The sequence below is a fragment of the Homo sapiens genome, chromosome 7, assembly GCF_000001405.40.
Source record: "Homo sapiens chromosome 7, GRCh38.p14 Primary Assembly".
NCBI classification, from domain to species: domain Eukaryota; kingdom Metazoa; phylum Chordata; class Mammalia; order Primates; family Hominidae; genus Homo; species Homo sapiens.
Window position 1 is genome coordinate 151,188,984 of NC_000007.14, and position 18,605 is coordinate 151,207,588.

Here is an 18,605-nt window from a genome sequence, read left to right on the forward strand (position 1 = left end):
CCCCCAGCCTCTGGGAATCACCATTCTACCCTTTACTTCTATGAGTTTGACTTTTTTAGATTCCACAATAAGCAAGATCATGCGGTATTTGTCTTTCTGCACCTGGCTTATTTCACTTAGCACAATGTCCTCCAGATACACCACATTTAAAAATCCATTCATCTATTGATGGACACCAGTTGTTTCCATCTCTTGGCGATTGTGAGTAGTGCTGCAGTGGACGTGGGGGTGCAAACCCCTCTTCTGCATGCTGATTTCAATTCCTTTGGGTATATACCCAGTAGTGGGATTGCTGAATCATAAGGTAATTCTAGTTTTAGTTTTTTGAGGAACCTTCATTCTATTTTTCAAAATGGTACTAATTTACAACACCACCAACCATGCAGAGTCCCCTTTTCTCCGTATCCTTGCCAACACTTATCTTTCATTTTTCAATAATAGCCAGTCTAACAGGTGTGAGATAATATCTCATTATGGTTTTTGATTCACATTTCTCTGATTACTAATGTTGAACATATTTTCCAATATATGTTGGCCATTTGTATGTCTTCTTTTGAGAAGTGTCTGTTCAAGTCCTTTGTTCATTTTTTAATGGGGTATTTTGTTGTTGTTGTTGTTATTTAGTAGTTTGAGTTCCTTGTGTAGTTTGGATATTCACCCCTTATCCGATGTTTGATTTGCAAATATTTTTTTCCCAGTCTGTAGATTGTTTCTCCACTCTGTCATTTCCTCTGCTGTGCAGAAACCTTTTAGTCTGGTACAATCCCATTCATCTACTTTTGCTTTCATTGCCTGTGCTTTTGAGGTCATATCCAAGAAATCTCTGCCCAGACCAATATCATGGAGCTTTCCCTTATGTTTTCTTCTAGGGGTTTTATAGTTTCAGGTCTCCTGTTGTCTCTTACTACCTGTGGACACACCTTGGCCTTCATCCACACACTGTGTACATGGTCCATGGGTCTGCCTCTTTCAAGAGAACACTCTGGGGCTCACCAGCCCTTGGTGGTATGGTTGCCCCTGCTCCCTAAGTTCTCTGACCCCGTTCTCCCCTGAGCTGTTCCCTCCCCAGCAAGGGGAAACCCACAGATGGACTCCCACCCCAGGGGCAGGAGGCTCTATCCCATTGAGCCCTGAGGGTTAGGCTGTGGTCAGAGGATGCAGTGCACAGCTGGGGCAGGCAGAGTGCCAGGGGACAGGTCTTTAGAGGAAAGAGATGAAGGCCACTCTGAGAAACTGGGTCGATCCAATGCTGCTCTCCCATGTCCATTGCAGCATTGGGTCTACTAGCAGCCCTTACCCTAGTCACAAAGCCCTACCGCTTCCCCACACCTCTGCTGAGCCCTGCTTCCCATCCTGCCCCCGCCACTCCCCAAGCACCTCTCTGCCCTGACTTCCCAGACACTTTTGCTACAATAGTCAAACCCTAGAGTAAAAGGGACCTTAGAAATTCCTGGTCCAATCTCTCTCTGCTTTATAAGTAAGAAAACTGAGGCCCAGAGACAGGAAAGCACTCTCCAGGTCACACAGGGAGTTAGTGCCAAGTGCATTTAGAACCAGGGACAGTTAACTTCCAGACCTGTGCTTTTTCTATCTGACTGCAGACCTTCCTTCTCCCTACTCTTCTCTTTCCCTCTCTCCTCTTCCTATTTTTTCTCCCTTAAATACCTCAAGGAGGAAGAGATTCAGGGAGCCAGGATAGGACAATGACAAGGAGATGAAGACCTGGAAGTGGGGGCTGAGGACAGGGATCTAGGAGGCAGAGCAAGGAGGTGGCAGTGAGCTGGCAAGGGCCAGGGCCCAGGAGAGAGGTGTGGGCTAGACAGCGCCAGGCACAGGTGGGGGCACAGAGGGAAGGGTGGGAAGACACGGACATGGATGGACAAGAAGAGTTTGTTCCCAAGTCATCTGGGCATTTATGCCTCTGCCCCATCCCTTTACCCTTGGGCCACTGCCCTGTCCCACGCCACTAATCTCAGGTGCCCGCAAGCCTTAGCCATCACTTCCTTTTCTTCTTCTCCTTGTCCAGCTTGGCCTCCTCGGCCTCCAACTGGTCCATCCTGTGTTTCATGCTCTTCTTGCCCAGTGGGGTCTTGAAGTACCAGTCCTGGGTTGGTGGGTACAGGAGTGGTAAGGCCCTCAGACCCATCCTGACCTCACCCCTCCCCCTTTTACAGATTGTTTCCTCAGCAGCCTCTTCTCCTCTCCTCCTGGGTTTGGGGGTCCTATTAGTGCTGGGGTTTCCCTTGCTCCCCACCAAATGCTTCAGGTACAATGTCAGCCGTTCTTAGTGGGCAAGCCCTCTTCCCTCCACACCTGCAGCCCTCTCTCCTGCATTCCCAAGGCCATCCTTGGCAGGGGCACTGACTCGGGGGTGGGAAAGGTGGGTGGCAGCTGCTACCAGAACCCACAAAGGGCTCCTGATACCTCGGTGGTTCTTGCAAGCTCCCACCCTCAGGGAAACCAGGTGGGACGGCCCCGAAGCCTTGGCATTTCCTGGTGATTTCCTGCTCCCTTCCCAGCTGAGCTCCACACACATTTCCACTGATTGTCTTCTGGTAATTTGTGGGAGCAGAGAGAGGGGTCCGAGTTGTGCTTCAGGGGGCTGACTCCCCAAGGGCGCTGCTTACCCACAGCCCCTGGCCCTGCCACCTCACCTTCAGGGACTCCTCCTCCTCCCTGTACACTGGATCCAGCTTCACCAGTTGTCCCAGGAACTCAGAGGCCACCAGGGGCCGCTTGGACAGTTGCAGGAACCGCCGCTCACTCAGCACCGATTGGATGGCTTGGAGAATGTGACCCGGCGTGTAGCCATCGGAGACCTTGGCTAGGGCACTGATGTCCAGGTGCTGGGTCGGCTGGATGCCCCGGGCCTCTATCATACGCTTCCAGAGCACTGCAGGCATGTGGAAGACATGGGGCCTGGAGGGGCAGTGGGCACCAGGGAGGGGCAACAAGGCCTGAGCAGCCCCCGCCTGGATCTGGAAGGAGTTTTGTGCTCCGGGGAGCAGCTCCACATCCATCAGCTCCCCTTCCCCAGGGAAGGTACTGGATCTCAAGCTAGGCAAGGGTCATCCTCCCAACTCAACCCGAGGAATTAGAGCCTCGGAGGACATAGACCACCTGCTCGCGTCCACAGAGCCAAAGCCAGGACCCAGGCCACTGGGCTGCTTGTCCAGCAGCCCTTCCAGAAGACCGGGCTGTGGGGGTGAGGGCTCGCAGCAGCAATGGGGTATGGGGCGGGAGGTGGGCAGGCTTTGGTAGGCGCAGCCGTCCCCACATCCCCAGGCCTCACCATAGCGGGATGCGTAGTCAGGCCGGGGCATGAAGAGGATCCGCTCGTAGACCCGGCACAGACCCCGCATCTCGGCCAGCTGTGGCCGGGAGGTTGTCCCAATCAGCATCACACGGTCTCCGGGAGTCAGCAGCCGCAAGGCCTTGGTGAGGTCCTTCTTTATCCGCTTTGGGTCCATCTGCTCCAGGGGAGGAGGGAGGAGTGGTGGGGCTGGGGCACAGTGGCCCAGCGTATGGGGCTCCCAAGTTCTCAGAGCCCACCCCACCCTCAGCCTCACCTCAGCCCTAGCGGGATGAGGAGGCTGCCCATCCTGCTTTGAGACAAGGAAACTAGGTGTGAGGAGTAGAGGGGCATGTGCAAGGCCCCAGTGGTTGGGGTTTGGAGCGACTGGAACAAGCCCAGGCCTTCCAGCTTAGCCCCAGCTCACGCTACCTGCCCACACGGCCTTCACATCCATGCTCCCTCACCTCCTTGTCTTCTTTGGGGGTCTTCTTATAGAAATTCTTCTCAGCATTTCCAATCCAAATCACAGAGGGCTGTAGGAGTCGGGCTACCTGGATGGGTCAGAATGTAGAAATCAGATGTTAGATGTCTCTGGAGAAGGGTCATGTCCCTGCTGGTCAGAAGGCAGGATGAGGGCCGGCCTTGAGCAGGGGCTGACCTTGGAGCCCCGTCTCCACTCCCCACACCTGGAAGTCCCACCTCCCAGCCTGCTGCTGCACATATCTCACACCTCAGGGTAAACTGAGTCACTGCCCCCCATGGGGGAGCTGCATATTCAGTCTCATCCTACCATGAAAAGAAACTGCTCTGTGTCCTCCCTTTTCCCTTCATTCCCCCACCACAGGGGCTGCAGGGGGAACCCAAGCTCCTAGCCCGGTTGGTAGGGAGACCTCACCAGTTCAGCACCTGAAATCATACCCAGTAGGCTGATGGGTGACGTGACCTCAAAGCCCCCCTCCTTTGTTGCCACAGGTCTGAGAACCGCAAATGCCAAAAGCTGGGGGCTCCGGACCTTAAAGACTATATGCACCATCATCTGTGCCCCATTCCTGCCAGGATATTTGCCCAGCAGGTTTTCCGGCGACAGGTCGAACAGGTTGGCGCCAGTTTCTGTGCACACTGCCTTGACCAGCATCTTCTTCCCCATGCCAGAGGGGCCCACCAGGAGGATGGAGCGGATGAGTGGGGCCATGATGTGGATATCCGGGGAGCCTGAGAGCAAGGAAATGGGCCAGAGCCAGGCAACAGGTCAGCAGCAGGAATCAGGGCTGGAGATGACTGCGTAAGGTCAGGCCAAGGGCCTAGGGCTGGGGGAGGAGGTGCAGATCACAGGGCATACTACCTTCCCCAACACCAGCAGGTCCCCTAGTCCACTAGGTCTGGGAGCCGGGAGTGGCAGCAGGAAATTTTGAATGGCTTATGAGTCTCCAGTATGAGGAGTTGTGCATGGGTCTGGGAGGAGCCTGCTACCCCCACTAATGCCCTTTCTGTTTTCCATTCCATCTGCTTCCACTCCTGGATTATGAGTGGTGGAACTGAAAGGCACGGGACACGGGAGGTGGAGTTTGCAGTGAGCTGAGATTGTGCCACTGCACTCCAGCCTGGGCGACAGACTGAGACTCTATCTCAAAAAAAAAAAAAAAAGGAAGGCATGGGATAAATCACTTCAGAAAGCTCTTCAGCTCAGGGGGTATAGGGCTGGTGGTCTTCTGGGAGCAGAACAGACCCTGGGTTGTCCCTTGGGATTGAGTAAGGGGCTGGCAGCGTGGGCTCTTTCAGCAGGTCAAGGGCCCACCTGATTTCTGGAGTGGCCCAATCTGGGTGTGACCTCCAGCAGGGCCTGGGCAGGGCAGGAGGACCTGGGGCTTGGAGGCCCAGGCTGGACATGTCCACCTCAGCCACCCTACCCTGACCCCAGCCCTCACCCCAAGGGCTGCCTGCCCAGAGCTGGCTCCTCACACCCCCAGAGCCTCTCACCAAGCCGAAGGACCGCATACAAAGCCACATTCTGTCGTATGTCAAACAGGGATGGCATGGGCAACTTCTTCACCAAACTCAGAGTGGATCCAAGATACAGGAAGTCACCTGTGGCGATAGGCAGCCACTGAGTGACAGGCACACTCTCCGAGTGGCAATCAGGTGATCAGCCACAGGGAAGGCGGGGCTGGTGGATGGGGGTAGGGGAGCCTTGGCACCTGGCCACAGAGTGGGAACAGGCATTCTGGGAGGGGTCTCACCTATGTAGTCTTTCAATGCTACTGACTCACTCTTCCTTAGAAGGCCAGAAATAACAAGCTCTTCGTACAGAGACTCCACAGACCTGGCAGAGGATGGCACAGGAAGACCCCCACCACCACAAGGGACATTAGCAAGTGAGAACACAGGGAAATGGAGGCAGAGATGGGGGCTGTTGTCATGAAGACAGGGTATCAGTGGTTCTCCTGTACAACATTCTGTGGTCAAAAACATCTACAGTGCCTGCAAACAGGCAGAATCAGGTATGGCACCAAATCACTGTCCCAGGAGGCAAGCCTCCCCCAGTGGGTGCTCTGTAAGAGGGGTGTGAGGGGGACAGGGGCCTCTGTGACACTCATTAGTCTGCCCCCTGACCAAAGGTCCACCATTAGAAATCCAGTCATTTGAGTTAAGCATTGCCCTCTTCTTAGAAACTACATTTAAGACGTGAGTGCTCCTGGGAGAGACAGACATTAAATTCAAGCAGCTGACGTCAAGTCGCTTGTGAGCTCTCTTTACCAGACAAGTCAGCAGGAAGGGACCACTGACAAGTCCCTTAATGTCTCAGAGTGGGAAGTCCAGGGGGAAATGACTTTGGCAGAGACAGAGCTGGTTAAGGCAAAGGTTGGAGGAAGGATCTGGAAGTGGAGAGCAATGACCTGATTATAAACTCCATTGAGATCTCGCTCTGCATCTCACGTACAGAGCCCTTTCTTGTGCCTTTGCTTGATCCCCACGGCTATCACCTGAGTTTGGCAGGGCAGGTACTTGGTGAACGAGGCCAGGGAGTCAGAGAGGGAAAGCGACTTTCCCAAGGTCTCACAGCAGCAGAGCCAGGACCTGCAGTCAGGTCCCTGGACTGGGACTTACTCCACCACCACCACCATGCAAAGTGGGCACGACAGGGTCCTGCTACCTGTCTGAGGTCAGATCTTTTTCCTTCTTTTTCCCAGTTTTCTTCCCAGGTGTTTTCTGGTTGGAAACGAGTGCGTAGGTCACTGTGCCCTGTTCCTTGCCTCCCTGTGTGCCCTCCCCTGCCCAGCCCCAGCCCCTCATCTTGCCTTTGGAGCCCTCAGGGGTCTTTCTTCCTCCTTGTCCACAGCCAGACGGAGCTTCCTCAGCTCCTGACGCATCAGCTCATCCACCTAGGGGAGACAGCCGAGGTGTGGCGGGGTGGCCTGGGGCTGGGAGGACAGGTGGGAGAGGAGCAGGCAGGCAGGGATGGGAAGGAGGGGAGGAGCCTTACAGAAGAGCCCAGTGAGCCCGATGAAGGCAGTAGGGACAGCCCTGATGCCTTCCCGAACATTCCTCTGCATTCCTCCCTCCCTCCTGGCACCTGTTCACACCCAGGCCTAATCCTCTTCCTGCTCTCTCAGGAGCCCTGTTCTTAACAGCCTTCAACATGCGGAGAAGCCCCCAGATGGAATTCAAACCGAAGATCCCCCGCTGAGGTCTTTGTGACCTAAATGATTGCATAACCGCTTAGCCTCAGTTTCCCGTGTGTACCATCAGGAAAACCACGGTACTTTCCTCATGGGTTGTGTGAAAGATCACATGACTGAACACTCCTGAAGCCCACGGCATGGGTGGGACACGTCGTCAGAGGGTTCCTGAGGATGGTGGGGGGGTGTGGACACCCTGGCTCCGAGCCCCTCCCATACCCTCCACACCCCTGCTGCATTAGCCCTGGAAGAAAGTGGGACCGGGGGAGGCAGAGGAAGGTGGGAACTGACGTGGGCAGCAGGTGGAGCTAGGACCATGCATGGAGGCAGCAAAGTCTACCGAGGATGAGCTGGGGACTGGGGTTGGGTGTTCAGGACAAGAGAGAGGCAGAGAAATGGGTGGGGAGGAGCCTGAATCTGGCTGGAAATGTGGGTTATGGGGGAGGGTACAGGGTGGTGGCCTGCAGGGAAGCCCTGACCCTGTGCTCACACCTGTATCCGGATCTCCAGCTCCACCTCTTTCCTCTTCTCCTCCCGGAGGGTCTCGGAGTCATAATTCTGACTGGGGTGTATGCTCTCACACCGGTTCTTCCATGTATCTGACCGCAGAGAATGGATGGATGCGTGAAGGTCAGAGTGCCGGGTGCATACACACATGCATTCATGCGTGCACAAGCACATGCACACATACGTGCACACAGACACATGTGTGCACACAGGTCAGGAGCCAGGCCCTGGCTGGTTGCCTTGTCCCCACCCACCAGCCTGGCATTGCTTCTACCCAGACGGCAAATAGGCTTGACCCCAAGGCCTGTGGCCACAGAATTCAGACCCAAATCTGTAACGCCCCCACCCGAAGAAGCACACCATACCTCCCTCTCCTCATTTGGTGTTGTCCCCTTTGCCTACACACCCACACTGCCACTTCATGGTCCGTGTGCAGACACCCACTTTCTCCAGGACCCAGGGCCCCAGGTCCCACAAGGCACAGACACTCTTCCCCAGCCATCTCCCCTCTTACTTAAGTATTCTTCATGCCCGGCACAGATCATAGGGATACATTTGGATGGCAACACTTGCAACACCGCATCCACTTCCTAGAATAGAAACATTCTTTGACCTTGACTTCCTCACCTCTGCCTAGCACAGACTCTGGCCCTAATCTTACCTGAACCCATCTTCCTACCACGAGTTCCCCCACACCTTCTCCTCCCTGTCCCTCACACCATGCATCCGAGAGGTATCTTACCCCCTTCTTGGCCTTTTCTTCCTTTCCTTTCTTCTTCTCTTTTTCATCCTTTCCTTTTTCCTTGCTCTTCTCTTGTTCCTTTTTTCTGTTCTCTTGCATCTGCATTTCCAGTTCCATTCTCACCTGTGACCAATGACCCAAGACATTTCAGAGAAGATCAAGGGGATTTTACAGAAGAGAGCCCTGGGTTTTACAGAAGAGAGCTGGCGATCTCTCAGGCTCAGGGCCTGATACTGGGGTGAACCAACGATTCCCTAGGCCTAGAGTAACTGATGGGGTCGGGACAGCTGAGCATGCAGAGACTCCTTTGGGGTCCAAGGAGAAAGGGTGCCCAAGAAGGAGCGTTCTGGTGAGAGCCACTGTTCTCTCTTGGGCCACGGGATCTGGAGCCACTGCAGTCTACCCAGACATCCTTCCTTTCCCAGCCACAATGCCTGCTCCAGCCGCAGCTGCTCCTTGCTCCTCTTCCCCATGCCGTCTTTCTAGCTGCCTGCATTTCCCCCAGCCACCTCTGCCTCCATTGAGGCTGACCCCCTACCCCACCCCACTCGCTATTCTCTGTAGCCTCAGGCTCCACCTGCCACAAAAAACCATCTGCCCCACCTCCAACAGGGTACCTGTTCTGGCGTTTTGTCTGCAAAGATTGAGTAGGATCCACCTGAAGACGCATCTGGATAATCAGGGAACCGGCCAGTAAGGTCACTAAGTGAACAAAAGATGATTGGACAGAAAGATGAATAGATGGATGGACAAATGGATGGATGGATAGGTAGACAGAGAGGTGGGTAGAAGGGTTGGTGGATGGATGGACAGATGGATAGATAGATGGAGAGGTAGGTAGAAGGGTGAGTGGGTAGATGGGCAGATGCATGAGTGGATAGATGGAGAGGTGGGTAGAAGGGTGGGTGGGTGGATGAACAGATGGAAGGATAGACAGAGAGGTGGGTAGAAGGGTGGGTAGATGTGTGGATGGATGGATGGGGAGATGGAGAGGTGGGTAGGTGGGTGGGTGGATGGACAGATGGATAGACAGATGGAGAGGTGGGTAGAAGGGTGGGTGGGCAGATGGGCAGATGCATGGGTAGATAGATGGAGAGGTAGGTAGAAGGGTGGGTAGGTGGATGGGCAGATGGACAGATGGAAGGATAGATAGACAGTTGGGTAGACGGGTGAGTGGATGGATGGATAGGTAGATGGAGAGGCGGATAAAAGGGTGGGTGGATGGATGGAGAACACCAGAGAAAAATAAAGGACCAGGGTGACGGAGGGAGAGGTGGGAGAAATGGATTGTTACAAACAGGAGGACAGATCACTCAGGGGGCATCCATGGGTGCTTTCCCCACCCTATTCTGGCACTTTCTCTCCCTTGTGGAATTGAGAAGTCAGGTGTGGAGATGGTCCTGTACACTGGGGGCCCAAAGTTGTTGAAACCAAGAGGGTCAGCAGTGTGTTGGGGACCTGGGGGTAGAGGAGAAAAGGCCCCATCTGGACTAGAAGGCAGAACCCATGCAGGGGATGGGGCAGGAGCAGCCCTGAGGGACCCTGAGCGAAGGGAATGAAGGATGGAGGGTAGGGTCAGCTGAGGACACTGACTGGCACTCGATAAACCACTGTCGGATTTGCTCCTTCATTTTCTCCTTCATGTCAGGCCCCTCTGTCTCTACCAGAGAATCATGGGCCTTCACCATTGCTGCCCGGAACTCCTCCTCTTTCTCCATCTGGCGGAGCCTCTGGACATCCTCCACGAGGCATGGCTGGGAGATGATGCTCAGGTGCTCTACCTGGTTGGGTGAGGGGAGCTGGGGGAGTGGAAGAGAGGCTGAGGGGCTCAGGAGTGGGAGGAACCAGCAACCAGTCTGGATGCAGCCCCCAGCCTCGGGCACACACGCCTGTACCCACTCCTTCCCCAACACCACGCTCACACAAGGCCTCACACACACACCCACACGGAACAACGGGCATGCCTGCATCGGGAGAAACTGTGTTTGGAGCCGAATTCGTCTGTGTAAATTACTCTAATAATGAGTCTGCTAGATGCATCCAGGCTGTCCCCTGCCCGATTTCCCCAGCACACCCTCCCCTGGAGCCTCCGGCCCCAGCCCCCGCCTGCACCCCCGCCCCGCGGCCGAGTTGGCAGCCGCTCTCGCAGCCACTTTCCCGCCTCATTGGCTCCCAAATGTATTTTAAATATCACTCTGCGCAGAGACAATTACTGAAAACGCTGAGCTCACACTGTTGATAGGCCCGGGCGGCCGGGCTCATTCCTCACCCACTGCCGTGCACGGACCCCTCCCTGCTGAAGCCAACCCCTGCCTCTTTCGGCCTGCTCTCGTCTCCTGGGGGTCCAGCCCTCTGGCCCCCCAACAAGTCTCTGACCTCCACTCCCACACAGCAGCCCCTGGCCCCTCCTTCCTCCCAAGGCTCCAAGCCTCCAGTGGTAGCCTCCCAGCCTGCCAAGATGTCACCAGACCTGGGAAGGCTCCCTTCCCTCCAATCCCTCCAGTCCCCAGCCCAGCCCCCTCCTCAGCTCCTTCTGGCAGCCAGGCCTCCAAAGGATCTGCCTGGGGCAAAGCCCTTCCCCCAGGGAGCATGCTCCGGCCACCCCTCCAGGCTCGGCCTGCCTTTCCTAAGTCAGTGGAGACCAGCTGGGTGAGAGGACAGAGAACAGGGGATAGACAGATTCAAGGAGCCAGGCCTACTCACTTTGGCCAGGCACACGTGTGTGCACACAGGCACATGGCCTGGAAAGCCCTGGTTTGGGGAGTGTGTCCCCACCCAACACAGCCCCTGGTGTCTCCCCGTGGCTGCCAGAGGCTTGTGGGGGGCAGTGTGGGTGCTCCTGCTGGCTTTATAGCCTCCTCCCTCTGGGGTCCACCCCTGCAGCCCCTTCCAGCTGGGGGTGGGAACATGGGGTCCAGGATGCTCTACACAGTGCCCTTCATGGCTCCACAGGTGAGCTGCTGCCAGGGGCCGGATTTCTACAAGAAAAAGGGTGTGAAGGGATATGGCCAGGGGGCTTTTCTGTCCTTCTGCCTCTTTCTCTCCCAGGCTGTTCACCTGGCCTGAGTGGAGAGCACCGTGGGCACTGTGGGGCTGGAAGAAGACTGCTCTGGGTGGGGGCCCTGCCCTGGCCAGCCCTGTGTTCCAGGACCCACCATGGTGGGCAGGTTGAGCTCACCATGCCAATGAACTCCATCTCCATTCGCCGGTCCTGCTGAGTGCGTTTCCTCTGCAGATAGCCTTTCCACACCTGGCGGAGGGATGTAGGGGACACACAGGACACACAGGACACACAGTCTCCACCCTGCAGCAGCCTGTCTCTCAGAGAGGGTCCGAGAGGGTCACACTAGAGATTTCCGGTGGGGTGGGGAGGAGCCCTGGGCAAGCCTGCTCAGGTGCACACTGAGCACAAACAGCCTGGAACAGGGTGGTTTCAGGTGGGCACTCAAGTCAACTGGCCCCAGGGCCCCCCAGGGATTTCTTCCTTCCCCTCGCCACCCTGATTTGCTATCTCTTTTGAGGGACAGATCAGAGCTCAAGCACCCTACACATTCCCTACACCCCCTCCTCAGAATCCCCAGAGCAGTTGGAATAAATACTTGATTCCACCCAGGCACATAGACACTGGCGCTGCAGGGACTGTGGAGCTCCTCAGTTAATCCTACATTTTTGACCCAAGGCAACTGAGGCCGGAGACTGGACATGACCTCTCCCAGGCCCAAGACCCCATCTGTGCAGAGCTGGACCCGTCCTCTTTCTCCCAGGCCCAAGACCCCATCTGTGCAGAGCTGGACCCGTCCTCTTTCTCCCAGGCCCAAGACCCCATCTGTGCAGAGCTGGACGCGTCCTCTTTCTCCCAGGCCCAGCTACTTTCAGACTCCAGGATCACTGAGTGCTAGTGGGGCCAGAGGGTGGGGACGCTGGGCAGAGGAAGGCAGAGTCAGGGCCCGGGCCAGCCAGTGCTTTCCATCTGCCTCCTGGCACCTCCAGGAGCAGGGACCGGTTCCTGCCCTTCTCATCTGGGCTTCGTCCTCCCACTCCTGTGACCACCACAGACCAGGCCTGCCATGACTGGGTCCTTCATATATTCTTTCCTTTTCTCAGTGCTCTGGATGACTCTAAGACCAGCACGCAATATTTCTGTACTCTTGATGTCTGGCAACAGGTACAAAATGATCTGCTTTGGTCTACAGGGGAAGTGGGACTCCATCTTTGGGGTCCATCCTCCTTCTTGACTTCTTTGCTTTAGTGAGCCCTGCTGTCGAGAACCTCCTTCTAAGCCAGACATTGACACAGTCATCCTGCCTCAGACCAGCATGCTCAGTGTACTGATAAGTAATGCACGAATCTATCCCATTTGCAGATGATATATCTTCATAGAATCACTATTGTTTGTTAGTTGGTTGCCTGCTTTTGTCTTTTGGTGGGAAGTTCTAAGTTTTCTCTAGTGGGCTAGGAGGCAGAGGTTTTTGAGGTATTGGGACTTGAGAGAGAGAGGAAGGCGGGGGAGATTGATTTGAGAGAGAAAGAGGGCCCACCCCAGGTCAACAGTTCCTGGAAAGAAAAGGTGGCAAGAGGCTTCCATGACAGAGCAGGGCCGGTGGCCTTAGGGGCAGTGACACCTGCATGAACAGAAAGTGGTCTGTTCCTGCACTGGAATTTTCCCGGGGCTCCTCCAGTCTCTGGTCAAGCTGTTAACCACTACTACCAGGAGTCAGCCTGTGTTAGCAGCATTTTAAGGAATGGTAGGAGAGGCCATGTTCACACATCAAGGCCAACAGCAGAGGCTGACCCAGAGAGGTGCAGAGTGGCTGTCCAGAGCAAAGGAGACGTGTGAGAACCAGGATGGTAAGAATGCTCGGGGAACCTTAGGGCAGAGAAGGGCTTTCTGCAGTGAGGTGAGACAGGGGATAGAATTATGGAAATTATGTTATTTCCATGTTAAAAGGTGACCCAGAAGGCACAGAGTTTGGGGGTGCTCAGATCACATCAGTTATCAAATTAATTCATCATGATCAAGTTTCCCTCTGTCTTAGTTTCCAGGAGGCTCAGGATCCTTTCTTGTTTTAAGAGATGGGGTCTTGCCACATTGCTCAGGGCTCAAGCAATGCTCCAGCCTCAGCAGGATACATTTTAGTGGCTCATTTTCAACAGTCTTAAGAGTTTCTGGAGTGATCATCTATTCTGTTCTATGCTATTATGGATCTTTCTTCTCTAATTTTAATGATCCTTCTGTTTCTGGGATTTTTAAGGTATCCTACTACAAACCCTTTTGAAAATAGAGATGTAGATTAAATAATAAATGAGTAAGATACATGCTTGCTGACTGATTAAAGTACTGACTGGTTTAGAATCTAGTTGTGGGGGCTGGGCATGGTGGCTCACGCCTGTAATCCCAGCACTTTGGGAGGCTGAGGTGGGTAGATCGCTTGAAGTCAGGAGATCAAGAGCAGCCTGGCCAACATGGTGAAACCCATCTCTACTAAAAATACAAAAATTAGCTGGGCGTATTGTCAAAGGATTGTAGTCCTGGCTACTCAGGAGGCTGAAGCACGAGAATCGCTTGAACCCAGGACACAGAGGCTGCAGTGAGCTGAAATCTACAGAATCCAAGCACTTGCACTCCTGTGATCAATTACTGAGCCCAGCAGGCTTCCTGAATGAGGTGACTCTACCCTGACCCTCCTCCTGGGCACCTAGGGTTACCTTCTGTATGGTGACAGCTGCTTGGCCCTGACTGAACTTGTGCCATCCATCCTCCCGAATCCTCCCATCCTGCTCCTCATCTCTTCGAATCTCTCGCATGAAGGTGGCTCGAAGCCGGCCTTGCCTCGCCCGCTCTGCCTTTTGCACTAGAATTATGGCCTCAGTCCGGTGCATTCCTGTAAAGCTCTGGCCAGAGCAGGGGCAAAAGAGCAGGAGCACATGAGGGAGAGCTTGCATCCAGGGTGGGCCGCTGGGAGACCAGCCATCAAAGGATGCACCAGGACACCATCCTCCCAGAGTATCTGGGAGGCCAAGTCTTGTCTTGGCGTTGGAGGGTTACCATCAGCAGAAGAACAGCCTTGAAGGAGGCCAGGGATTACCTAAAGGGCACTCTGGTAGAGAGCAGGGAGGGGCCTCTCTGCATTCTGGAGTCTTTCAGGAGATGGGGTATGGAAGAGTCTGGGAGGGTGTCACCCCCGTTTACCTTCTGGGAGGACACTGGCTCCAGTCTGGACAGGATCTCGGCCAGTATCAGCCCTCGCTCCCGCACAGTGGTGGACTGCTCCAGCAGGAAGTATTTGGGGATTGGAACCTCCAGGTCAGCCTTTGGAGCAATGTTGGGGGAGGAGGGTCAGGAATCAAAAGTCTGAGCCATCTGGCCGATCCGTTACCATTTTTAGGGGCTTACACACCCCCAGCACTGTTTTCCTCCATTTTAGAGTCCTGACTAAACTTAAAGGGTAATGGGGCAGATACCCCCAAGAGCCACTCCTCTCTTCCTCTGCCCCCATCCTCTGGCTGGAGTTGAATTCTGGAGGCTCATGGTAGGTGGCAGTGGTCTCAGACCTGGTTGTGCATCACAATCAACTGGGAAGCTCTTAAATGCAGATTCCTAGGTCCTCCTCAGACTACTACATCAGAATGACAGGACCTGGGGAATCTTCCCTGCGCCCCCACCCCCGACCAAGTGCACTGCTGCAGCTGGTTGGGGAAACTTTGAGATAGTCTTGGATATGAAGCAGTTACTGAACCCTGAGCCGGACTGGAGGCGCCGCAGAAGCTCTGTGCTCTAGAACAGCCTTCTAGAACTTGCCCGTGCACACAGATCACTGGAGGGTCTTGATAAAAATGCAGGTGCAGATTTAGTGAGTTAGGGATTCAGAGTTTCTCATTTGTGATGTCAATGCTGCTGGTCCAGGGACCACACTTTGAGGAGGCTCTAAAGGACTCTCCTCACCAATTCCCTGCGGTTCGTGGGTCTTCCCAGTCATGCAGGGGACCTCACCCTGACTCCATCCAACCTCTAAGTACCTCCATGCACACCCCCCACCGCCAAGGTTCCTGAAGCCCTTCCTACAAGGCCAAACCCCATCCTCTGATCTTCTCTGCCCTCCTTCCTTTCCTAGCAGTTGTCCCAACACCAGGGATATCCGTGGGGTGGCGGGTAGGCAGGGGTGGTCGGCCCCATCCCTACCCCACCCGACCCCAAGCTGGCCAGGGCGTGGCTCTGTGTCCCAGGTGGTCAAGGCCGGTCCCACCCCACCTCTCCCCTCCCGCTAGCTGGCTGGGGGCGTGGCTTCGCGGCTGCGCACACGTACTGGGGTGAGCTTGAAATCCTGCAGCACGCGGTCCAGGCAGTGGTTCTCACACAGGTCGGCGCGCACCAGCTCGTCCTTGAGCTCCAGCACGCGGCCCGCCACGCCGTCCAGCAGGCGTCGCAGCAGCCGCCGCTTCTGCGGCTGCACCATCTGGTCATAGACGGTGTCGAAGCGGCGCAGCAGCCCCAGGTAGTGCAGGTAGAGCGATGCGAGCCTGTACTGGAAGGACTGCCGCTCCCGGTCGGGCGCAGGTTCGAGCAGAAGCTGCTCTTGGTCCAGCAGCTCCTGCAGGGTCGCGTGGGAGGACTCCCAGAGGCGCTGGTAAGCTCTGGGGAGAGGGTGGCGGGCGCCGCGTGCTCTGAGCCACGGAGGAGTGGGGAGACGGAGCAGCCTGGCCTTTTGAGGAGTGTGGGCTCGGGGTACCAGAAGGTGTGATGTCACTCATGGCTCCTAAATGGACTTCAATGAGGTAAGGAGCCCGCAGGGCAATGAGTGGACACCGACCTGGTCTTAGGGAGAGTGTGGGATTGGGCTCCGCTGTAGGATTAGCAGAGAGAATGGGCATGACCTTTGGGGGTTTGGGGGAAAGCCAGCCCAGGCTTGGGGCTCTGGTAAGGAAGGGGTCTTTGGGAGTCAGGGGCAGTGGGGCCCTCCAGGTGTGGGGCAGCCCACGGATGCTGCAGTGATCTGGGCTGGTGGATGGGAAGTGGGGGTGAGGGATGAATGTGGAGGAGGGACCCTTCCCCAAGCAGAGCCCTGGTTCTGGAATTAACCATCGGAGGGAAGTTTCCACAGTGAAAGCTGCCAGGGCAGCAGCAGCAGCTGGGGTGGCCCAGTGCCCAAACCGCCACTCTGCCCCTGCCTCTCAGGACTAAGGAGATGCTCTGCCCTTTGCTGTCTCTGCCCTGGGAGCCCCACTCCAGCCCCTCACTCACCCCTCAGACATTGTGTCCACTCCTCCACGCTGCCCCTTGTTTGCTGGTGGTGGAATTCACAGAACCTCTGTGGCTCCCTGACTTCCAGGGCCACAGGGCAGAACAGCCTGTTTTTAAGAGTTCTGACCCATTGTACCAGTGTTCTAGGGCTGAGGCGAGGGGGCTGGTGGGTGCAGAATCGGGGACATTTATCTCGGAGGACGTCCTGGGAGCAGCGCGCTGAAGGGACTGTGGGTGGGTGGCTGCAGGCTCCCGCAGAGCAAGCTTTGGAAGCTTAGGGCAGAACATGTTGTCCAACTTTGGCCATTTTTCTTGTAAGGAACAAGTAAAATAAGTTTCTATTTGAAGTCCCCTGAAAGCTTTGGCGCTCTGGATACATCTGTCCTAAAGACATTACCCCCTAACAAGGCATCACCGCAGCTTCTCACTCTCAGCGGCCTCTGTTCCTTCTCTCAGCCCCCGCCTCCTGAGCCCCACAGCCCTCCTTCACTCTCTGGATGACAGCACGGGGAAGCCCATGTGGTGGAGGGGAAAGGCACTGATTTGGAGTCAGAAGGCCCTGAAGTCCCAGTTGCCCCCTTGGGTGAAAGTGAGCATAACCATGCTTTCCTCCCTGGGGCCTGCCAAGAGTTCACACCATTCCCATGAGCCAGACCCGTGTGAAGCATCATGCTAGAAAGTATAGTGGATGCTGTTCTGCATGCTTGGGGCTTACTTGGTCACCTGTGGGTACCACCTCCCGTCACTGCTACAAGTTCAGGAGATAATTTTTCCAAAAAGACAAAATATTATACCACTAGCAGCCTGAGGCTGGTCAGCTGGGGTGAGCTTTTTGGCTCAGTGTCACGTCGAGGCTTATGAATAAGTAAATCTAAGAGGAACAGGGCCAGGGAAACGGACAGAAGGGAGATAGCGGCAAGGAGGAGCAAAGAGGAGGAACTCGAAGGTGCCTATGAGCTACCTGAGGGTCTCATTAAAATGCAGATTCCAGGCTGGGCGCAGTGGCTCATGCCTGTAATCGCAGCACTTTGGGAGGCCAGGGCAGGCGGATCTCCTGAGGTTGGGAGTTCAAGACCAGCCTGGCCAACATGGTGAAACCCCATCTCTACTAAAAATATAAAAATTAGCCAGGCCTGGTGGCACATGCCTGTAATCCCAGCTACTCGGGAGGCTGAGGCAGGACAACCGCTTGAACCTAGGATGGGGAGAGGTTGCAGTGAGCAGAGATGGCACCACTGCACTCCAGCCTGGACAACAAAGCGAAACTCTGTCTCAAAGATAGATAGATAGATAGATAGATAGATAGATAAACAGATTCTGCTCCAGATCTGAGGGGGGACCCAAGAGCCTGCCTTTCTAACAAGCTCCCAGGTGCTTTGGCTCCTGCTGGCCCGGGTCATGCCTGGTAGGGCAAGGTGTGAACACAGGGCAGAGTGGGCAGGAGTGAGACTTTGGGGCCAGATCTCCTGGGCCTGCCTCTTGCTAACTGTGAATGTAAACGTGGATCATTAGTCCTCAGCTCACAGAACCTCAAGGTGAGGCTCGAGGTATGAGAAAATACACGTGACCTAGGTAGCTGCCGCTGAACGTCAGCTATTACTACAAGGCGATGCCTTTTCAATATGTGGAGATGAAGGAGACCACAAGCCAGGTCTGTCCAATTACAAACGGCACAAAGGATTGGAGGTTTGTCTAAATCCCACCCCTTCATCTTGTCCAAGCTTGGAAGAGGATTTATGGGTCATGTGCCCACAAGATAAGCAGAGGCTGCATGAGACAGGAAAAGCAAGTGGTTAAGTGGTGAGCAGTAAATCTAGGTAAGGACATAGGCGTGGCCGTGGTGCTTCTTGCAGTTTTTCTGTGGGTTTCAAATTTTTCCAAATAAAATTGGTGATGTTAGGAGTTTCAAAAACATCCCCACTGATTTGTTCCGAAATAAAGGGGAAACTGAAAAATCATACTGATCTCAGCAGGTTATTTAGAAGCCGATCTGGGCCTTCAGTTTTTATATCTTGAATAGATCTGTGTGGCCCCTTCACACAACAGTGCCTGTCGTACAGGATGCAATGACAGTTGGTGGGAAATGACATCGCGAAGACACAGCCTGAAAGAGGACCATACAGGAGGAATTTCAGGCCCCAAGAG

The 18,605-nt window shown here is 55.0% G+C and overlaps 1 protein-coding gene across 1 annotated transcript, besides 2 other annotated features; it reads right to left on the reverse strand.

Annotated features, from left to right (window-relative positions):
* Positions 1,890-16,513, reverse strand: DRC11L (dynein regulatory complex subunit 11 like). The gene is made up of 19 exons (NM_001304419.2): positions 16,461-16,513; positions 15,526-15,853; positions 14,412-14,531; positions 13,928-14,113; positions 11,400-11,471; positions 9,815-10,020; positions 8,839-8,923; positions 8,222-8,344; positions 7,994-8,069; positions 7,465-7,571; positions 6,592-6,675; positions 6,447-6,502; positions 5,533-5,615; positions 5,273-5,380; positions 4,308-4,507; positions 3,760-3,846; positions 3,293-3,470; positions 2,655-2,893; positions 1,890-2,104 (listed from the first exon to the last, which is right to left on the reverse strand). Exons 1-19 carry the CDS (start codon positions 16,469-16,471, stop codon positions 1,997-1,999), a joined length of 2,457 nt encoding a protein of 818 aa, NP_001291348.1. The 5' UTR covers positions 16,472-16,513; the 3' UTR covers positions 1,890-1,996.
* Positions 6,968-7,707: an enhancer, noted in NCBI's record as "H3K4me1 hESC enhancer chr7:150893037-150893776 (GRCh37/hg19 assembly coordinates)". NCBI's record gives its function as "activates a minimal SCP1, AML or CMV promoter by ChIP-STARR-seq in primed H9 embryonic stem cells {active_cell/tissue: H9 hESC(primed)}" and the evidence as "EXISTENCE:reporter gene assay evidence [ECO:0000049][PMID:30033119]".
* Positions 9,649-10,635: an enhancer, noted in NCBI's record as "H3K4me1 hESC enhancer chr7:150895718-150896704 (GRCh37/hg19 assembly coordinates)". NCBI's record gives its function as "activates a minimal SCP1, AML or CMV promoter by ChIP-STARR-seq in naive H9 embryonic stem cells {active_cell/tissue: H9 hESC(naive)}" and the evidence as "EXISTENCE:reporter gene assay evidence [ECO:0000049][PMID:30033119]".
* Positions 16,514-18,605: the final 2,092 nt, after the last annotated feature.

What these genes read in the sequence shown, in the direction of transcription:
- DRC11L (NM_001304419.2), bottom strand. An exon ending in GTATGCGGTCCTTCGGCTTG is followed by an intron (nt 4,508 to 5,272) that starts GTGAGAGGCTCT and finishes CCTTGCTCTCAG; the next exon opens with GCTCCCCGGATATCCACATC. An exon ending in TGGTGCATATAGTCTTTAAG is followed by an intron (nt 3,847 to 4,307) that starts GTCCGGAGCCCC and finishes TGACCCATCCAG; the next exon opens with GTAGCCCGACTCCTACAGCC.